The 21690-nt window shown below is 49.6% G+C and overlaps 1 protein-coding gene across 7 annotated transcripts in view, besides 1 other annotated feature; it reads right to left on the bottom strand.

Moving 5' to 3' along the window:
• Positions 1-18760, bottom strand: part of SLC24A4 (solute carrier family 24 member 4) — a 178901-nt gene extending 160141 nt beyond the window's left edge. For 2 of the 7 annotated variants that reach the window (XM_011536436.3, XM_011536437.3), the window contains exons 1-3: positions 17381-18176; positions 17141-17281; positions 15363-15473 (exon numbers count right to left, since the gene is read on the bottom strand). In XM_011536436.3, the coding sequence (XP_011534738.1) occupies positions 15363-15473; positions 17141-17281; positions 17381-17510 (382 nt within the window). In that variant the 5' untranslated portion in view covers positions 17511-18176. Of the gene's footprint in view, positions 1-15362; positions 15474-17140; positions 17282-17380; positions 18177-18705 lie in introns of those variants that run through there. The other 5 variants (NM_001378620.1, NM_153647.4, NM_153646.4 and 2 more) reach the window with 3 other exon arrangements.
• Positions 17063-17642: an enhancer, noted in NCBI's record as "H3K4me1 hESC enhancer chr14:92790043-92790622 (GRCh37/hg19 assembly coordinates)". NCBI's record gives its function as "activates a minimal SCP1, AML or CMV promoter by ChIP-STARR-seq in naive H9 embryonic stem cells {active_cell/tissue: H9 hESC(naive)}" and the evidence as "EXISTENCE:reporter gene assay evidence [ECO:0000049][PMID:30033119]".

Raw genomic sequence — 21690 nt, 5'->3', positions numbered from 1 at the left:
TGGCCAATAAGCATGTCCTGCCTTCCCTGAGCATCCTCTCAGAGTATTGTTCACGTCCCCAGGGTCAGGCAAGGTCAGCAACCTTCATGAGGACAGCTTATTCAGCAACCAGAGGGCATTTCACAGAAGGCGCCAGTGGCCCCTCCCTCCCAGGTGTTCATCTACACATGAAGCAAGACACAAAGGCCACCAGGCCACCAAAGAAGGCAGGGCCGCTGCCACTTTGCCTGCTGCTTGTGTGGTGTGATGCATCCTCTTTCGGGATGAGCACTAGCCGGCCTCCCTGCATACTCATCTGAGGAGGCGCAGAGAGACAGAAAAGGAAACCAGGATGACTCTAAGAACTGGTTGTCCACCTGAGAAAGGCCCCGACTCTTCCCTTTTGCATGTTACATGCAGTGCCCTACATTTTATCAGCTCTCCCCTATTATTTTGTTTACATGCCTCCAATGTTGCTTAGAACAAATGCATCTGCTCTGGGGCCTCGGTAAAATCCTGCTGGGATTAAGCCCTACTGATCTAAAAAATGTAATAAACTGGGTGTCCTGACATGTGAGGCCATGTGTGGAGGGAGCGCAGAATTAGGGGGATCCGTGCCCCCTCTCGGTTGTGCTTCTGATGGTGAATATCACACTCTTGCCATCCCTTGGCTCCAGATGCCCAGAGGTGAAAAGGTAAGCAGTTCCTAGGGTGGGGAAAGGAATCTTTCCCACTCTTAAATCCTCACGTGAGACACAGGAAAGCCCAGCCCCCTGCAGGTTTGGCATGATGCAGCCTCGGAAGCCACCACACCCAAGGACCTGAACCCTGCAAGGCCAGCTGAACACATCTCCCTTGCCCCTGATTTGGTCAAGTTCTCTCTCACCACCCTATTACTGCAATCACCAAGTCCACTGCCAGCAACGTCCCACCCTCCCCATCTGTCCAGCAAATACCCTCTTGCGTCAAAGCACAGCTCAAATGCTGCATGCTCTGTGAAGGCTTCCAGCCATGCCGGGCATGTGAGTGTGTCACCCCAGGTCACATGCAGTGATTACGAGTTTACCTCATTCTCTAACCTGTGGGCTCACTGAGGACTGGGATTTCTCTCCTTTGTCCCAGCCTCATTAGTACCCCACCCACGGGTACCCAGTAAGTGCCTGCTGGGTGCATACTTTGGAACACAGAATATACAATATAAGCCAGCCACTGTATTTACACTACATGGCTCTTCTTGAACTAGTATCCTGTAGAGGGGTCTAAATGAAAGGAAGGAAAAGTGCTTTTCATGCTCCCATCTTGGAAAATGGGGATGCCATTTATCTGCATCTGCAAACAGGGTTGATGACCCCCACCTGCCATCTTGCACCTCTAGCATCTGCTAAGACCTACAGATCCTGCCTCTCTCAACCTATTCCTTGACACCCCAAGTAAGACAATCACTTCTGCCTAAGACTCTTTGCAATAACTTCTCATTATTCTCCCTATCTTCATTCTCTTTTGCCCTAAAAAGCTAATTAAGCATAATGCTAAGGACTTTCACATATTATTTCAATTTCAGTTACTCTCCACGTTGCCAGCAGATCTAACCTCCTAAAACCCAGAATTGCTCAGAAACCGTCCCTGGCTCCCAAAGCCTGCAAAAGAGCTCAAAGGTCTTTGGGTGTTTAAGACTGTTTGGTTCCAACGTACATTACAGGATGACTCGCCACCCATACCCACCCGCGCCCACCGTTCCCTCAGCCAGGGGGACCCTCCGCCTACCCCGGCAAAGCCTCCGGAGCCAGGCTGCCCAAGTTCAGATCCCCACACTGCCAATTCCGAGCTGGGAGACCTTGAGCAAGTTATTGAACCTCTCTGTGCCTTACTCACATCTTTCGTATAATGGGGATGATAATAACAGACCACCACCATCTACCCTCAGGACTGTCACAAAGATCAAGGAAGTGATGTGTGCAAAGCACTTAGGACACTGCTACCCAAGTGTCTACTCCATTGTTAGCTTACAGCAGCCACACTTTCCCATCTTCAATGCCATCTTTGCTGGGACGCCCTCTTTGATTTTGACATCGGGGACTTAACTCAACCCTCCTCTACTTACCACCAGGATCGCAGCCCTGTGTACTCCCCCTCGTCTTACAGGTTAGTGTTGTGGATTCCTATCCTGTCAACTCAAATGGAAGCTCCCCGGAGGCCGGGTCCGCATCTAGGACGGGACCACCAGATAGGGTTGCTCCATCAACATGCATCCAGCACCTCGATCTTTGAGCTCTAACACTTAACTCCTTCCGGGTGTCCTGATCTTCCCCAAGGCACCGACAGGCTAGAGGGGCCAGCCAGGGAGAGAGTAGCCACTTTTGTGGGGGCACAGCTCCCTGAGGGGTGCAATGAGGGACTCTGTCCATCCAGTCATCATTCGCTATAAGCAGAGTCTATGTCCGACTCCTGTCTCACTTCCAAGCCAACGACAAAGAGGACATAGTCCCTGCCCTCAAGGAGCTCAAAAGCAAGAAGGGAAAGAATGGCAAATACCTGCATTCTTACCACTGCAATCTGCCATGAGCTAAACCCAAGGATGGCTTTCCACCTGAGGTCAGGGAGACTGCCCCCAATAGGCCTCCTAAGTAGGGTGATTTTTTTCATAAATGCATTTATTTTAGTAAACAGATATCTTAGGTACAGAGCTGAACAAGCTGCCGTGCGATCTGCCCAGCCATCCCTGAACTTGGCATGTACAATGGAATCCAAAGTCAGACATTTGTAGTGTGAAATGAGATAAACCAACAGCGGGGTCATACAAGTTGGTATGTTGGCGGGGTGGTGTGAATGGTCTTTCTCTTTCTATTCTAGGCAGGCACTGCATCAACCACATTAGCCAAGCACCATGCTTTCACCAAATCCTGTTCATGATTTTATAGATCAATTCTGAAAAGCCCCAAATAACTGATGTCTTCTATTTCACAAAGGTGAGATGTCTTCAAAGGGTTAAGCATCTATTACAGTCAGGCAAACAGTAGTAATCATATTTGCACAGCACTTTGCACTTAATCCTTAAAAGCCTGTAGGGCAAACCACATCATCACTACACCCATTTCACAGACAGGAATTAAGGCTCAGATAGGCAGAATAACTTGGACAAAATCAGGTTGTGTCAGGGCCAGAATGCAAGCTCTCCAAATTCCAGCTCTCATTCATCAGGTCCCACATCACTAACAGAAAGGACTTTATCTGGAACAATCACAGTGAGTACCTCTGTGCCCCATGTGATCTGGGTCATCTCTTGGTGTCAGCCATGTGAAGGGTCAACAGATTCTTGTCCTCAAAGAATTAATAACAAGCAAATGGAAGCTCTGATATTCATTTTGAACTTTAACTCAAAATGAAGCAGGTGCTGCACTTATAAAATTCAGCCTCCAGCCTTTATCAGAGGGCAGCTCCGAAAATTTGTACTGTGAAGTTATACTTCAGTTTAAGTTCTCTTTAAGAGGTAATTGCAGCTGCAAAAAAAAACTTGTATAGTGCTTACTCTCATGCCAGGCACTCCTGTAAGCACCTTACGGAGATTAACACAAGTCAGCGCTCAGAACCCTGAGATAATGGTGCTGTCTGACTTCCAGGAGCACATATGTGTGTACAAGCACTCCCATGCACACACACTCTTATTGAGTGGCAGGCAGATACATCAGTGAATGAAACACACCCTGCCCCTTTCCTTGGGTTAAAAGGCAAGATCACTAGTTCAAGGCCACAGAAATACAGCAAGGGCAGGAGCAGGATTGGAAACCAGATAGTTTGGCTCCAGGATCCATGTTCTTTGAGCTCTAACACTTAACTCCTTCTGGGTGTCCTGATCTTCCCCAAGGCACCGACAGGCTAGAGGGGTCAGCCAGGGAGAGAGGTGTCACTTTTGTGGAAGCACAGCTTCTCAATGGGTACGATGAGGGACTCTGTCCATCCAGTCACCATTCGCTGTAAGCTGAGTCTATGCCTGACTCTGGTCTCACCTCTAGAGCCAAGGACAAAGAGGACATAGTCCTTGCCCTCAAGGAGCTCAAAGGCAAGAAGGGAAAGAATGGCAAATACCTACATTCTTATCATCGCAATCTGCCATGAGCTAATACTGAGCCAAGCACAGCCTGCTAATTGGGGAGACCGCCCCAACTGTGGATTACTGAGAACCAGTTTGCCAACTTCCCCCTGGGCCAGCACAGGTAGCTGGCATCTCCCAGGCATCACTGCCACCCCCTCCCCATGTTTTTAAAAAAAAAAATCCAAGTAATCTGATCCAGCCCTAGCCCTAGTTGAGCACTGGCTCCTAGATAAATCCCCAAAGCCTAATTACTTACTATTGTACCTGGTAATCTTAGGAGGTGTTTATTTTCTCTTTCCCCTTGGACAGCCAATGAGCAAGACACAGTGGTTGCTAGCAAGCGTTCCTCCAGGTACGGGAGGTGATGCTGCGATTTCTCAGGGGGCAGTTTCAGGTGCACACTGCTGTCTGCGTAAATGCCCTTCCACAGCCTCCACCTACCCTTTGAGGCCAGGCTCAGACGTGGTCTGCTCCAGGGAGGGCACTCTTGCCCTGAACCACCACACTCTTTCCTCTGTGGCACCCTCCCTAGGAAGATCCCCCACCGTGGTATTTGCGGCAGGTGGCTTGGTCTGGTTTTTGAGCCCTGGCCTGTCTTCCCCATGCTCACTGACAGCAGGGACTGGGTGCCTTCCAGCTTCAGAGCCTAGTACAGTACAGGGTGTGTGGACATTTAAGAAGTATACATTGAATTTAATTTCTTGCGCAATTACTAGGAGACTCAGGGCTGGAGCCACACACTGTGCTGAATTAGCAAAGGAAGCTGTAGGTCCAGAAACCAGGCGGCCATGCGTTCCCACCTCCAACCGGAAGACCCCTGGGCAGGGAGTGCTTTTGTTTCTCAGCCACACAGTGACCTCTGTTCCTTTCCCAAGGAGGACATCCACTGCTTTTTCAGAAGGAGCAGTAAATTATTCCGGCACTTTTATTTTTATTCCTTTTTAGTAAAATGCCATGTTCTAAAGGCCTCTTCAATAATGGACAATGTTAAATTTTAAAAATCCATTTTCAAGTATTCAACTTTTCTGTTACGTCCAACGGCTGGATCTCTTTCACCCAAGGCAACAAATGGCAATGCTTTATAATTTCCATTTTTAACTCAGGAAGGAACGTTCCTCAGGGTTCAAGAGGAAGCCGAGTGGGCGCTCTCTGGATTGTGGTAGGCCACGCTGCATCAAGAGCGGAGAATCTACAAGTTGGGGGTAGCAGATGGCCCAGCAAAGAGAAGAGATGGCAAGCAGATAGCCCCGATCATTTGGATGAGGCCAAAAAAACTTCCGATTGCAAACAAATTGGTATTAGAAACCTACCAAGAAGCACGGCCCACATAGGTGTTTGCTGCTCCCGTGGACAGGGCATTCTCTGTTTCTCAGATGGGCACTCAGACAGTGACAGGCTGGAATCTGCTACAGAAGTTCCCATCTCTAGTTTGTCTTTTTCTACCCCACTTATTAATAGTTATGAGTAAGGAATATAGGAATCACAATTCAGACCACCTGAATTAAAAGTCTTGCTCCACAGAAGATTTTGGGGGTGGTGAAACTATTCTGTACGATACCATAATGGTAGATAGGGGACATCACACATCTATCAAAACCCATGGCATGAGGGCTGGGCGCAGTGGCTCACGCCTGTAATCCCAGCACTTTGGGAGGCCAAGGCAGGTGGATCACCTGAGGTCAGGAGTTCGAGACCAGCCTGACTAACATGGTGAAACCCCATCTCTACTTAAAAAAAAAAAATACAAAAATTAGCTGGGCGTGGTGGCACATGCCTGTAATCCCAGCTATTTGGGAGGCTGAGGGAGGAGAATTGCTTGAACCCGGGAGGCAGAGGTTGCAGTGAGCTGAGATCCTGCCATTGCACTCCAACCTGGGCAACAAGAGTGAAACTTTGTCTCAAAAACAAAAACAAAAACAAAAACAAAAACAAAAAAACATGGCATGTGTCACACAAAGAGGAAGCCCTAATGTAAAAGGTGGACATTAGTTAATAACAATGTATCAATATTGACTCATCATTGTAACAAATACACCCACTAATACAAAGTATCAATAATAGGGGAAACTGTGAGGATGGAGGGGTAACAGAGGAACTCTGTATTTTCTGCTCAGTTTTTCTGTAAACCCACAACTGCTCTAAAAATAAAGCGATTAATTAAAAACACATAAACCACTGACTCTGCTTTTTGTTGGCCGCGTGACTTGGACTAGTTTGGGTTTCTTTCACTTCATCGGCAAACTGAGGACAGCACCTGCCTTCAGAGTTGTTACGAGAAGCAAGTAACCCCTGAAAAGTGCTTAGAATAGCGCCCAACATAGGGTACCCTGGACTTCACCTCGATGACGATGATGATGATGACGATGATGATGATGATGATGACGATGATGATGATGATGATGATGGCAGCTACCACGGGCTCCGTATGGTTCAAATACTTCCATACAGCATGTGGTGTCACACAGCAGCACTGTGAGACAGGTAAGAAGAGCTGCTATCCTCATTTTACAAAAGAGAAATCCTGATGCTTAGCAAGATTATGTAACTTGTCCAGGGTCACACGGCCAGTAAGGGGTGAGCTGGGACTCAAACCCTCACGTCTGCCTTCACCATGTCCAACTACCATCTTCAAGACAGACAGACAGACGGGAAGGAGCCTTTTCTGGCTGCTGAAAATCTTTGTACTTATCCAGTGCAACTTCCTTTTGTTAAGAAAGAGAGAGAGGGAGGGAGAATAGCCACTAAATGCCAGCAGGCAGGATCCGGGCACAACTGATACTAGAACGCAGACCTTCAGCTCCCAATCCACTGATCCACTATAACCATCCCACTCCACCCCTGAAACAGGCATGAGTGGGCACAGTGATGCCGGGTGCCATCTTCCTCAGCCTTTGTTTGTAATCACATTGGTGGCTGTGCCAGCCTATGGCTGTCCAGTATGGTTGGTGACAGTTTCCCCAAGAAGCTGCCTGGCCCTCCGGAGGCTGCCCTTCTCAGGAAAGGCCCTCTCCAGGCTGGACATCCTGCCCCTGCTGTCTGGGAAAGGAATAGAACTGTGATTTCCCTGCCCATAGTAGTAAATCCAATTCTTGCTTTTCTAACTCAAAATTTGCTTTTACATAACGACTTTAAAATTTGGATGTGTGACTTGTCTCCCAAGTCCACTGAGGCATCATTCCAACAGACGTTTGTTCAGAATCCAGACACTTCTTGCCACCAGTGCCATTGCACCTCCTCACCCACTTGTCCTGATGTCCTTTTTGCAGCTCTAGGCCCCTTGTCCTTCTCTTGATTTCTCGTGCTTTCTCCACCTCTGCTCCCCGCACAGGGGAGTCTACAGAGGCCCACCCCTGAGGGCACCTGCTTGGTGATCTCATCTCCTCCTAGCCCAGCCACAGTGTCAGCTCCCGTGCCCAGGGTCCCACCCCCACCAGACTCTACCACCCTCTCCCCCCGCACCCCACAACCGCCCTTACACTGGCATGGTACAGAATAAAAAGTAAGGGTGGATCAGAAGCAAGCTGATCACAGAAGATTCTCCATCTAGCGCTTGCATCCATCTCCTCTGCTCCCCTGAAATGCTACGAAGCACCTTTCTCTGCAGACCCTCCTTAGCAGCCTGCATCAGCCCGCTTCTCCCAGCCTTTCTTCTGTGGACACACAGCTCAGGCATCTCAGAAGATGTATTTGGAAGAAGGAAAACCACACACAATAAAGCAAATTCTAAAGGAGGACTTAAATCCCTCCCACAACAACAAGGGGAAATCAAGCCCCGCTCCGTCCTTCTTTTTTAACATGGGGCACAGGACATTGGAAACCCAAACCAAAAGGGGTCACATAGTGGAGAATGAAAAAAAACATTCAATCTCAGAAGTGGGGCCGGGCACAGTGGCTCATGCCTGTAATCCCAGCACTTTGGGAGGCAGAGGCAGGTGGATCGCTTGAGGCCAGGAGTTCGAGACCAGGCTGGCCAACATGGCAAAACCCCCCTCTCTACTAAAAATACAAAAATTAGCCAGGTATGGTGGTGGGCGCCTGTAATCCCAGCTACTTGGGAGGCTGAGGCAGGAAAATCGCTTGAACCTGGGAGGCAGAGGTTGCAGTGAGCCGAGATCGCACCAGCGCACTCTAACCTGGGTGAGGGGGTGAGACTCTGTCCAAAAAAAATTTTTTAAACCCAGAAGTTGGGGATAAAGGCAGTGTTAGAGAGGGGGAAATCATGCCTATCCCAGTTATGCAGGCAAACGTAAAATAATGCCGGTCAAGACACAAGAAAGTTCTTCTATTTAGAAGCACGTTCTACAAGGTAGGCCATCCTCCAGCATCCTAAATTCTTCAAAGATGAATTAAATTAAACAAATTTGTTTCCAGAAGAGAAAAGAATAAATGTGTGGCAAGATGTTTACTTGTTAACTTGCCCTCAGAAAATTCAACTGACAAATTGTTTTTCTGTACTTACCACACACAGGCATTATATCATCTTTGGGTTGAGCATATTAAAAAGTGATAATAAAGAGAGAAGCTAGTGTCTGAGCATGTATTCTAGGCCAAACACTGTTTTAAGTGCTGATGGGTATTTAGATTCATTTCATTCCAACAATCCTCTGAGGTGGAGGTACCTTTGACCCTTGAATAAATCAGGCATTAGTGGTACCAATCCCCCACTCAGCTGAAAATCTATTAATATGTATAACTTTTAGACAGGATCTCACTCTGTTGCTCAGGATCTCAAGTGCTCCCCACAATGCCCAGCTAATTTTTTAATTATTTGAGAGACAGGGTCTCCCTCTGTTGCTCTGGGCTGAAGCAATCCTCCTGCCTTAGCCTCCCAAAGTGCTGGGATCACAGGCATGAGTCACTGTGCCTGGCCTGCATATAACTTTTGACTCCCCAATAACTTCACTACCAATACCCTACTGTTGACCAGAAGCCTTACTGATTACATAAACTGTCGATTAACACATATTGGTTTTTTGTTTTTTGTTTTTTTGAGATGGAGTCTCACTCTGTCACCCAGGCTGGAGTGCAGTGGTGCGATCTCGGCTCACTGCAACCTCCACTTCCTGGGTTCAAGTAATTCACCTGCCTCAGCCTCCTGAGTAGCTGGGATTACAGGTGTGCCCCATGATGCCTGGCTAATTTTTTTGTATTTTTAGTAGAGAGGGGGGTTTCAGCATGTTGGCCAGGCTGTTCTCGAACTCCTGACCTCAAGTGATCTGCCTGCCTCAGCCTCTCAAAGTGCTAGGATTACAAGCGTGAGCCACCACACCTGGCCTGTTTAACACATATTATATATGTCACATGTATTATACACTGTATCACTGTATTCTTACATAGAGTAAGCTAGAGGAAAAATTTTATTAAGAAAATCATAAGGAAGAGAAAATATATTTATTCAGTAAGTGGAAGCAGATCATCTAATGGTCTTCATCCTCATGATCTTCACATTGAGAGGAGAAAGAGAAGGGGTTGGTCTTTCTGTTTCAGGAGTGGCAGAGGCAGAAAAAAATCCACATAGAAGTGACCCATGCAGGTTTGTTCAAGAGTTAACTGTAATTATCACCTTCATTTTACAGATGGAAAAAGTGAAGCACGTATTATGGTTTTAAAATGCAAACAAGGCTTTCACCTTTTATAGTCTAGTTAGGGGAGGCAGATAATACAGTAATGGATAGAATTAGTGCCTGCAGGCCAGGTGTGGTGGCTCATGCCTGTAATCCCAGCACTTTGGGAGGCCAAGGCAGACAGAGCGCTGGAGCTTAGGAGTTTGAAAACAGCCTGGGTAACATGGTGAAACCCTGTCTCTACTAAAAATACAAAAATTAGCCAGGCATGGTGGCATGTGCCTATAGTCCCAGTTATTCAGGAGGCTGAGGTGGGCGATGGCTTGAGCCTGGAAGGTCGAGACTGCAGTAAGCTGAGATCATACCACTGCATTCCAGCCTGGGTGACACAGTGAGACCCTGTCTCATTTTTTAAAAATAAATAAATAAAATTAAGAATTAGCACCTGCAAGGAGCTAAAAACAAGATGCCATGACAGCCAGGGACTCAGAGGGCTACTTTGAACTGGGTTACCAGGGAAAGCCTGTGAAGGTGGCGATGACAAGCAGGAGCCCATCCTGGAAGATCTGGACAGAAACAGTATGGTTCCCAGATACTCCAAAAGTCAGTCACAGAATGCAACTGTTACTGCTTCTGGTTTCACAGGTCAGGGCTGGGCCCAGGAATCTGTCTTTTTCAAGTCCCCCTGGTGTCTCTCATTTACAGGCCAAGGTTGAGAAGCACCAGGTTCCATTCTCAGCTGTCTTCAAATACCCCAGGAGATGTGTGGAAACTCGCTGGTTCCTTATACAGACTGAATGTTTGAGTCCCCTGCAAATTCACAGTTTGAAGCCTGAACTCACAATGTGATGGTATTTGGAGGCAGGGCTTTTGGGAGGTAATTAAGGTTAGACAAGTGCATGAGGGTATGGCCCCCATGATGGAATGAGCCCCCTTATAAGAGGAGAAAGAGAGACTGTGTGCTGTCTCTCTCTGCCACTCTGAGCACACAGCAAGAAGGTGGCCATCTGCAAGCCAAGTAGAGAGCCCTCACCAGTCACCTTGATCTTGGATTTGCCAGCCTCCACAACCATGAGAAAGAAATGTCTGCTGTTTGAGCTATCCTGTCTATGATATTTTGCTAAAGCAGCCTGAGCTCAGATAGTTCTCTAGGGACTCAGAGTCACTGCCACTCATTCCTACATCATACATGTGGCATGGAGAGACCTGCTTCCCATTTTCAGTGCTTGCTCTGTACAGGCCATGAAAATAAACATCTAAGGCCTAGAGGCCCATGTTTTGCCTTCAGATCTCTAGGGAAAAATTAATTATAAATTTTCCATAGACATCATTGAGCAAAAATAAAGCAGATTTTTTTAAAGCTTTCCTACATTTAAAAACATGTTTTTTAGGAAAATGGCTCTATTAAATAAGTGTTAACATTCAAATTTTTGTTTGCATTGCTTTTGTTCAACATTCAAATATTTATTGAACACCTACCAAGTGTCCAGCAGTGCTCTAGCCCAGAGAGCCACCTAGGCATCTCTTCAGGATGCCAATTCTGATTGGGGGGCCTGAGACTCTGCATTCCTGACATGCTCCCAGGTGATGCTCCCAGGCTGAGCACTAGGTCTCCAGCCCAGCGAGCACCACCTCTGACTTCATTCTGAAATTGCCTGGGAGCTCTTAAAAAGTATTGACTCCTGGGCCCTACCCCAAACCAGTGAAATCAGACACTCTGGGAGTGGGGCCTGGGCATTTCAAAAGATTCCTATAAAGCTCTTGAGGTGATCTTAATATGCAGCCAGGATTAAGAACAGCTCTTCTGGCCACAAAAGAGGTAGCCCTCAAGGGTAGACACCCAACAATGAAGTGAGTAATGTTAGTGACATATGTCATAAAAACATAAAAACAACATAGGGAGGAGGGCACGGTGGCCCACGCCTGTAATCCTGGCACTTTGGGAGGCCGAGGCAGAAGGATTGCTTGAGCCTAGGAGTTTGAGGCCACCCTGGGCCACATGGCAAAACCCTGCCTCTACAGAACAAATAGAAAAAAATAGCCTGTGGTCCCAGCTACTCGGGAGGCTGAAGCAGGATAATCACTTGAGCCAGGGTGGTAGAGGCTGCCATGAGACATAATCACACCACTGCATTCCAGTCTGGGTGACAGAGTGACAAAACAAAACAAAAACAAACAAACAAAAAACACAGAGTAATAAAGGGGGAAGGGAAGGGAGGGGTGGTGGCTGGTACTTAGGCTGAAACTCAGATAATGAGATCAAAACGCTAACACCAAGATCTGGGGTTACAACCCAGGCAGAGCCCGTTTTCCATGCAGAATCTTCAGGAAAGACTAGAGCAGGGTCCCATTCATGTTTTTGGAAAATAAAGTTCTTCCTCTCACAGGTAAAGATGAGCATGAGAAGGCACAGGCAATAAAGACACACACCGGAGGTTCTTAAGGAGATGTGGGCTCACGTTTGTGGGACACCCACTCCAAGTGGTGCCTTAGCACAGGAGGGAGCTCTTAAAGCTCCATCTTCTGACGTCCCTGAAAGGCCTCATCCAGCAGAGCTGGACAAGGCACCCTCTAATTCATGGGGGCAAGCTTAAAGCAGAAGCCTGAAGAGGAGGCAAGATAGCCTGCAATTCTTTATGAGGAAACCCCACCAACTGTGCAGAAGGGAGGCAGCCATCAGATGGCAGCGTCTGTCACACCCCTGAAACTCTCACTTGAAACTCTAATCCAGCCTTCCTTATCACAGAAAGCCCCAGGATGGGAGCCCAGGGTGAAGAGGTGTAAGAATTGAGTGTTTGCTCTCCAGGTGCCCAACCTCGCCGATTCCCAGGTAGAGTTCTGGTGGTAGGCGTGGCAGCTTCAGTCCCCTCCCTCCGGAGGTGGAACCTATGACCAAGGTCTAAGCCAGTCCTGGGCCCAGCACTCCCTTGGCCAGATCAATCTGCAAGGGTGGTCATGCGGCCCAAGCCAACCCAGCCCAACAGAACTTCCTGGCTTCTGCAGAAGCTGCTCAGCCTCAGCATATTTGAGTCTGGGAGGACATAAGGTTGGGCCGGTGGTAACCACCTTCCCGTGCTAGAAGATAAGTGAGCCCAGAGATGGAGAAACAGAGCCATGGACACCTCGTAACCTTTGATCTCACACTGCCAGTTACTGAGCCACTAAATTTCTATTTCTGCTAAACCCAGTTCTGTCATGGCAACTCTAAATGGCCCTGCCTCATCTAGTCCCCCAGGCTACACAGAAGGACACCGGGCCAGCGCATCCTCCTCTGTGCACCTGCAGTGCCTCCTGCGGGGCTGCTCACTGGGGAGCCGCTGGAGTCCCTCAATGTCACCTAGCTTTCCCTGTGTTGAGATCTTGTCCTCTCTACTCTAGTATAAGCTACTCAATGACAGCGGCTTGCATCTTATACTCCCCACTACCTGTCCACAATAGAGCTGGACACACACGAGCAGGTGCTTGCTACACAGACTTGTGAAATGAAAAGGGGGCAGAGATTCTCATAGGCCAGGGAGGAAGATGCTGGAAGGGAAGGCTGGCCACAGACCCCACCTGGCCTGAGAGCCGGGGGCTGTGCAGTACAAGGGAGAGGCCTGGCACCTGGATCCAGGTGACCCCAGTATGTTTCCAGCTGCCCAAGAGATCTTAGGAAGCCACTAAACTTCTGAACTTCGTGTATCTTGTCTTGGCAAAAACGTGATAAGGATTAAAATGTGAGATACATCAAAATGCACTTTCATTCCATCATTCGACCCATATCTATGCAGTCCTTTCTATGGGCCAGGCTGTATTCTGGAAACAGTCAATACAAAGCATAATGCAAAAGTTAACTATTTTTAAAGATATTATCAAGTTCCCTCCACTTCCCTTTCCACAAAAGGGACAAGGTGAGGCCTTCCTGTCGAATAGAACAGACGCTTTATATGTTAATTGAATGATTTTTAATCAGACAGCTGAAGACAGACACAGAGCCCACAGCGGGGCAAAGGAGAACTCTATCATAAGAAAGGGATCCCCGTCTAAGCCAACATACTCAGGCTATGTACGACAGAAGTCACAGAGGAGGGCATGGCCAGCCCAAGATGAGGGCACCAGCAAGCTTGAAACCACCCAAACATTCCTGAACCCTGATTCTTTATCCAGAGTAGCAAAGTGTTCCCATGGGGATGGTGCCAATTCCAGCATTTCTGGTCCCTGGAATGGGTGGGAACGGCCCCCAGCATTAACCATCCTTGGCCTCACGCATGTTTTTCCGTGTGGAGCCAATGACCCTTGCCATATATCAGTCGGCCCACATGTCCACCAGCCTGGCTGATGAGAGGAGACACCCTGGGGGAGGGAATGACAGGATGAGCACCCCGCCTGCTGGGCCACCAGGACAGGAGGAACCACCCAGGTGACAAGTGAATCCCAGCACTTCTCTGCAAGCCTGAGCTTGTCCACCACCACGTCCCTCCCGGTGGACTTCTCAGAAGGCATCTGAGGGCAGGGAAGCTGATAGCATAAAAACAGTATGAAAACTTTGACAGAAGGTCACCCCCACCTAAGCACAGGGAACCAACCAAAGGTTTTAGTTTCACAGGCCTAGGTTCTCAAACCAGCGTCACCACTTACGAGTTCTGTGACTTTGAGCAACTTGTGCCTTCTCCCCAGATCTTTCCTGACCTGTAAAATGGGGAAGAGACTTGCCTCACAGAGTATGACAATTTAACACGTGGGGACTGCCATCCAACCCTGCTCCTTTGTCCTGGAGCTCCGTCTCCTTTTATACCCAGTCCCCAACACAGCCTTCCCAGTTTCTCCCAACAACCCTACAACAGGCAACTATTCTGCCCATTTACAGGTGAGAAAACAGAGATCCAAAAAGATGATGTGATCTGCCCAGGAACTTAGTGGCAAAGCCATCTATATTAAAACCCCACAGTTCCCTAAGGGCTTGTGAATGTATCATCCCCCCAGATCCTCCTCACAAAGACCTTAAGGGTTACAGCCAGAGCTCAAGCATAGAAGTGCTCAGCCTGCGATCTGGGCAGTGGCTGTGAGTTCTGCTCTCTGCCAATACGCTGTCTTCTCCTGATAATCTTCTTCACTCATTTAAGCAAAGCCTGTCTGTGGCAGGAGAACAGACAAGATGTCACCTCTGGGTCTCTACTGCCTCAAACCCCCAAGAAAAATCTGAAGAAGAACATCAAAACGGGGCAAGCAGAATCAGTCTCCAGGGCTGAATGACACCGTGCCGACTCCCATTTGAGAGAAACAGCCGCAGCACCCCAGAGTGTCCCACCCCTGCAGCTGCCCGGTCATGCTGAGACCCTGGTGGGCCACCTCAAAGCACCATTGCCACAGCAGCTGGATCTGCCACCGTGAGAGCTCCAGTAATGGATACAGTGAGCAAAAGGGAAGAAAACAAAGACACCCCGAGCCGCAAACATCAAGAGAGCAGGGAAAATACTTAGCCTTCAGGAACATTGTGAGAACAAAAAGTAACATTTTTAAACTCTTGACTGTGACCTTTTCAGTTGCTGGATAAAGAAAGCACTTGAGTTGCTTAGCAGCACCATTGACGAATGTCTTTATGTTACCTTTCAATACCTCATGGCCACCCTTTCCCACTCAAGTCCATAAACCACCTTTCTCAGCTCTGGCTGTAACCACCCACATAAGCGCCATCTCCAGGCCAGGCCAAACATCTTAGTAGACTGAGTGGAGAAGAATTGATTTCTTACCAGGATCTGTGCAGTTCTTGGCTGTCTGTGTCCCATTCACTGGGGCCATCAACTTTCTATTTCTCCACGTGTCTGGCAGGACACGTTTGCTAGCAGAAGCTGTTTTGTGCCCTGGATTGGAAAATAAGTCACAGATACCATTAGGTCAGTGTGATGGCTGCGTTTCCAAAATGACCTTACATTTGTGTGTCTATGTCAGCAACAGCCCTGTTTGCCTATTCAGAGCCATCTTTAGGGACTGATAGGATGATTGGAAGTATAATATCACCTGCTTACATACAATGGCCTGTTTCCTGGATCTAGTTCACTGTTTCCAGTCCCAGATGGGTCAGCATGTGACCTGACCTTGGCCAAGACTGAGGTGGTCTCAGCACCTCATAGGTGCAACAAACGGTTTAGATAGGTGACCTTTTAAGTGTTCTTCCAGTAAAGGACACTCTCAGAGGGCCCCTGCCCTGGAGGAACTTCACGAATGAATAGCAAGTCAGCAAGCAGGTGGGCAAGGCTGATGCGGTCTGGCCCAGTGCTCCTCACACTTGAATGTGCACACAGATCACCTGGGGATCTTGTTAGAATTCAGATTCTGACTCAGCAGGTCTGGGGTGGGACCTGGGATTCTGCACTAACAAGCTCCCAGGTGGTGCTGATTCTGCTGGTCCAGGGGCCATACTGGGCAAGAGAGAATTTGCGGAGGCCCGCAACCAAGCACACTTAAACTCCTAAAGGTAATTCCTGATCCAGCAAATAAAAATGATTCTCACTTTAAGACCTTCAGAGTATTCATTTACCTCTCCTGATGCGCACTGCTTCAGCTGGGTAATAATACCTCTTCTATAATGCTGATGTCTAAGAGCCTCTAGGTATGTTGTTATTTCTGGTGTGTAATTGAGGGGGGAAAAAAATCCAAACACTGACTTGCCCAATTGCAAAGCACCAGGTACTAAGATATTCAAAATAATCTTCCTGGGTCTCACTGCAAAGAGCCACTTTTTAACCCTGCATCCTCAAATCACAAAGTTTAGGTTTCGAAAGGCAGTTATTTTGAAAACTTTAATCAAGTTCCACTGGATTTTTACCTATCAGTGTACACCTCTCTAAATGGTCTCTGGATGTTGACGGCCTTTCTAACTGCTCAAGAAGGTACTACCCGCTTTACCTTCCATGTCTTGGTGTTTAAATCACCAGCATTTCTTTTGTCTTTTTACATTTAAAAAAATAATGAAATTAAAAGGTTCACAGCATCCAACTCAAAATGAGACGATTAGGGAAGTGAATGTCTCCTGAGTTAGGGAAGTGAATGCCTCCTGAAGGTTACACATGGGGTCACATCCCCCTAAACACACTTCTTTGGTTAGTTCCTTCTCTCTTCCCGCTCCACCTGAAATTTGCATAGCCTAAGCTACTCCCAAATCCCTCTTCTTGGAGGAGGGGGCATGGGTCGAGGCTCCACACACCCGCCTTCTCCCTCCGTGGGAGTTAAGGGGAGTTGAGAGACGCGATGCTGAAACATGGCAGCTACCCCCCGCGGCAGACTGCCCCAACGCCTTTAGGGTTTGGGAAGAACAAACACCTCAGGGCACCCAGGGGACCCCTTTGAACCAGGGCAGGGGCGAGACGCAGTGGCGGTTCCTGCGGCTCTGCAGAATAGGAAAGCGGGCCACTCAGTTTCGCCCACCCCAGACCAAGAGAATCCTGCCTGCACCCCGCAGTTGCGCTGCCCATTCCGGGCGCACTCCCGGGACGGAAGCGGTTCTTGCTTTCGTCTTAGTAACACACACCTGCAGCCGCGTCCTGAGCCCCCCCAGGGGCCGCTCGTAGCTCAGGGGAACCGGCGCCACAGCCCAGAGCGTCCATCAGCTCTTCTGGGCGCGCTCTACCTGCCCGGCGGGGAGGGGACTGGATGAACCCTTGGGACCAACCTGATGAGGAAGGAGGGGAAAACATCTCGCAGCCGCCCCGAGACTCCCCAGCCAAAGCCCCCAACTCCCCAGGAAGAGGGGACCCGTACCAGCACCCACCCAAGCTGCCGAAGAGGCCGGACGCACAGCACACCAGGGCCAGCACCGCGCACACGAAGCCGACTTGCTGCGGCAGCATCTCTCGCCTCCTGCGAACTTTGAGCGGCCGGAGGGTCCCGCGGAGCGCCATCCCGGAGCGCCTGGGTGCCGTCTCTGGGAGAGGATGGGGAGCTTCAGCGGCCAGAGTGCAATCAGTGGCCGAGCGGCGCTGGGGCTGGAGCAGGCGGTGCGCGACTCAGAGGCGAGGAGCTCCGGGCCAAAGCCTCATGGCCCGAGGGCGAGGTCGGCGGGGGAGCCCCTTGGGAAGGTGGGGACGCGCGACGCGGCCGGAGCTCAGAGTCCCGCGCGCCGCGTGCGCGCTGCGCGCACCATGGCTCCGTGGCGAGGAGGCGACGCCGGCACGGTGGCGCTGGCGGCCCGGGCTCGCAGGGCTGGCGCAGTCCCGGCGCTAGAGCCGCTACCTGCCCGCTCCGCTTCGGCCGGCTCGCCCGGCCACAGCCCTGGCAGCAGCGCCGTAGGGAGCACTCAGTGCGCCCCCGCGCCCCGCGCCGCCGCGCCCACTCGCAGCATCCTCCTCCTCCAAGTTTGGCGGCGGCCGCCCCGGCTGCCAGCCGGCGATGTTCCCCTGCTTCCCGACGAGCCGAGCCCGGGCGGCCGAGTGCGCGCCGCGGGAAGGCTGGCTGGACGCGCGGTACCTGAGACCCTCGCGGCGAGCAGGCTCGACGTCGGCCCTCCCAGGGGCGAGCTCTCCCCGGGAACTTTCTCTCTGGCTTCTCGGCTGCGGGCGCCAGCGTCTGAGAGGCCGTGGCGCCTCCCGCCCGCTGCTCTCGCCTCCCTACTCCTCCCCTCCTGCCCGCCTCTCACCCCCCGCCCTTCCCAGCACGTGTACTCGTCCCGTAGGGCGCACTCCCCCGTGCACTCTTCTCTTCAGTAGTTGGACCTCTACTGACCAATATAATCCCCTTCCTTCTCCCTTTTTCTCTCCTTTCTTCCATATGGAGCTGCAACGAGCCCTTCCTTTACCCTCTGAGGCTGCTGCAGAGAGAAACAGGTTATGGCACCGCTGGGGACTCTTAGAAAAAGGGTTTCTGCAGTGTAGTCGCTCCTGTCCGGGCTCTCCGACCCCCGAGCCGACCCGAGGCCCCGCCACACACCCCCTCCCCACCCCGCCACCCACCACGGGGGGAAGATGCAGGAGAAAATTAATTGGTCGTGCAGAGCTAACAAACAGGCTTGCACCAAGCCAACACGAGCTTGGACCCGCTGGGACCAGCTCCTTCAGGGCTCTCGGGGCTGTTGGGGATCTGCGAGGCCGCGACACCGACCTGCAAAAAAGCTGGAGACGGGGCAGAGAGGGGAACCAGAGAGATCTGCGGGCCCCACAACCGACGGTTGAGCTTTCCATGTTCCTAAGCCTACCGCTTCCCAGGGCTTGCTGGTTTGGTTTTGTATCTCTCCTTTCTGGTCGGCTCTCTGGTGTAAACCGCTTTAAAAATGGGGCAGGAGGGAAAATTTCAGAACAGCAGCTGAGGGGTGATACAGGTGCAGGCAGGTGGAGGGGACCCCAGCCCAGGGGGTCTGTGACTACCCCTAGGACCGACTTCCTTCCCGGCCAATTCATCGCCACCTGTTCAGTGCCGCTAGGGGTTAAAATCCTTCTTGGAACAGGCCAACTCTTTAATTAAATAAATACATACCCACCGTGTGCAGGCCCTGTGCCAACCGGAGAACAAAACAATAACAAATGTATGAGACCCAGTCTCTGCTTTCAAGGAACTCTAAATCAAAAGGGAGCAAGGCCCTTAGATAAATGCCCCATTAAGGAGGGTCCTGAAAGTCACTGTTGTGCAGAATGTGCGTTGTTCCCTCACAGCTCACTACACTACCGTGTGGTCCTCAGCAGCATGAGAATTGCCTAAGAGCTTATGCGACACACAGACTCTTAAGATTCCACCCCAGACCTACTGAGTCAGAATGTACATTTTTAACGAGATCCCTTGGAAATTTGTGTGCACCTTCACGTGTGAGAAGTGCTCCCTTTTCAAGCCCGCTCCAATGCCTCTAGCCAGTCACCACCCACACGGTTCCCTCTGGACTGAGTAAGCAGGGGTCATTTTGCTTGTGTTAGCCTGGAATAGTGACACAGGTTAGAGGTGCCAGAGGGCCAGGAAGGGAGAAACCTCACTGATTATTTTCAGCAGCTCTGTTTCAATACCAACAAAGAGAGTGAAGGCATGAACACAAAACTAATTGCAGTGGAAACCCCTAGAGGAAATGAAATGGAAAAGGCCAGGGTTCTGTTTTTGTCTGCAGAGATGCCTTAACACTGAGGCTCACTCTCCGTACTGGTGACCTCAACCAAGCATGCCTGCCTGTGACAGAAAAGACACTTTTCATACGTTTGCAGAATTTTCTTCTGCAAACATTGACTAGACTGTACAAGGATGCATTCAAATAGAAGACTATAAAACATTGTTAAATATGACACTTAGAGAGCTAGCCAAGGGCCCTTGGCATCAAATTTAAGCCAAAGGAAAAAGTTAAAGTGATAATATGCTGTTGTCCTGTCCCTAAAACAGTGTCAGGGTCACATTGGTTAAGGCGATGCCGATGGACAAAATGGCATCTTGCTACTAGCATTTAATATTTTCTTAAAACTTTTGTCCACGGAGCTCACCTGGGGCTGGTGAAAATACATGTTTTTGAATCCAAAACAGGTCAAAGGAGTCATTAGGTGTCTGTCTTTAGACATTTAGTCAGCTCTTTAGTAGGACGTTTTCTTTGACATTTTTCACCTGCTTTCAGTTAATAGTTAGAACCCTTGGAATAATTTCTCATGCACAAATGGATTCCTTTTATTTGACAGTTTAAAAAGCAATTCATTTGAAATTGTACTTTTCACTTTATTTAAATAGTGCCCATTACCAAATAGCCTCAGCTCCAGCTCTAATGACTCATTCTGCAGAAGAGAGAATTGGGTTTTCTGTACCTTTGGGATTCAAGGCATTCAGGAGCATTTTGTAAACCAGCAAAGGCCGTGGGACAAAGCGAAAATGCGTTGCCGGGTTTATCCTGGTCCTGGCTTCAGTGCCTTTGGATTCGGAATATCTCCTCTGCAATTGTGTCTTCTGATATGACACTGCAGGGAACTGTCTACATGGCCAGAGTTTAGGCCATTTTGTTCAGCAGTCTCAGCCCAGGGGAGGTGGGTACCATGGTATTTTTCCTTAACAATCCCTTCCTGTGACATGATGGGCCTCACCATTTAATTTGTATCTTACTTCATTTTAAAAAGTTTTCTTTGCTAGAATGACCTTCTCCATGACTTGTAACTTCCACTTTGCCTTGAAGATGACTATCCATCAGCCCTGGATAGGCAGCGGTTCTCAAACTTCAACATGCTTCGGAATCCCCTGGAGTTTGTTAAAACTCAGGTTGCTGGACCGCCCCCTCCCCAACCCCACAGAGTTTCTGCTTCAGTAAATTCAGATTCAGAGTAGGGCCTGAGAATGTACATTTCCAACAAGTTCCCAAGTGAAGCTGATGGCTGCTGGTCCAGGGGCCACACTTTGAGGAGCACTGGGCCAAGGGATGCTATGATGACAGTCACAGCACTAAAGCAGCAGAAATTTGTTTCCGGCTCGGGCTTCTGGTCTACCAAGAGGTGCGTGTCTTGAGGAGGGGTCAGTCAGGTACCTGAAAGCAGCCACAGTCTCAACATTGGCTGTTTGCAGTGCCTGAAGGACCTCTGGCGCCTCCTGTGCTGACCGTTAGATGCTCTGGCAGGAACATGACTGCTCTCACCTCTACTCACCACTCTTGGCCCCAGGCTGGTCACATGGCCCCACCAATCCATGAGGAGGTCCAGAAGTACCATTCTTCCACTGCAGGCTAAGATCTGAACTCTACAATGGGCGGCCTTCATGATGACCACATCAGTGCAAACCTTGTCCCTCTTCCTTGCTTTCTAAGACCTTCCTTGCCTGCCCCTTCCTCTTCTCTGGTAGAGTTGATTCTGCTACGTCCTAAAGCCCGTGAACTACATCTCCATTCTAGCTTTTTTTTTTTTCTTTTGGAGACAGAGTCTTGCTCTGTCGCCCAGGCTGGAGTGCAGTGATGCAATCTCAGCTCACTGCAATCTCCACCTCCCGAGCTCAAGCAATTCTCATGCCTCAGCCTCCTGAGTAGCTGGGACTACAGGCATGTGCCACCATGCCTGCTAATTGTTTGCATTTTAGTAGAGACAGGGTTTCACCATCTTGCCCAGACTGATCTCGAACTCCTGAGCTCAGGCAATCCACCTGCCTCGG

Source organism: Homo sapiens, chromosome 14 (genome assembly GCF_000001405.40).
Source record: "Homo sapiens chromosome 14, GRCh38.p14 Primary Assembly".
Taxonomy (NCBI): Eukaryota; Metazoa; Chordata; class Mammalia; order Primates; family Hominidae; genus Homo; species Homo sapiens.
Note: the sequence above shows the minus strand (reverse complement) of the source record. Positions and strands in the feature narration are given on the sequence as shown.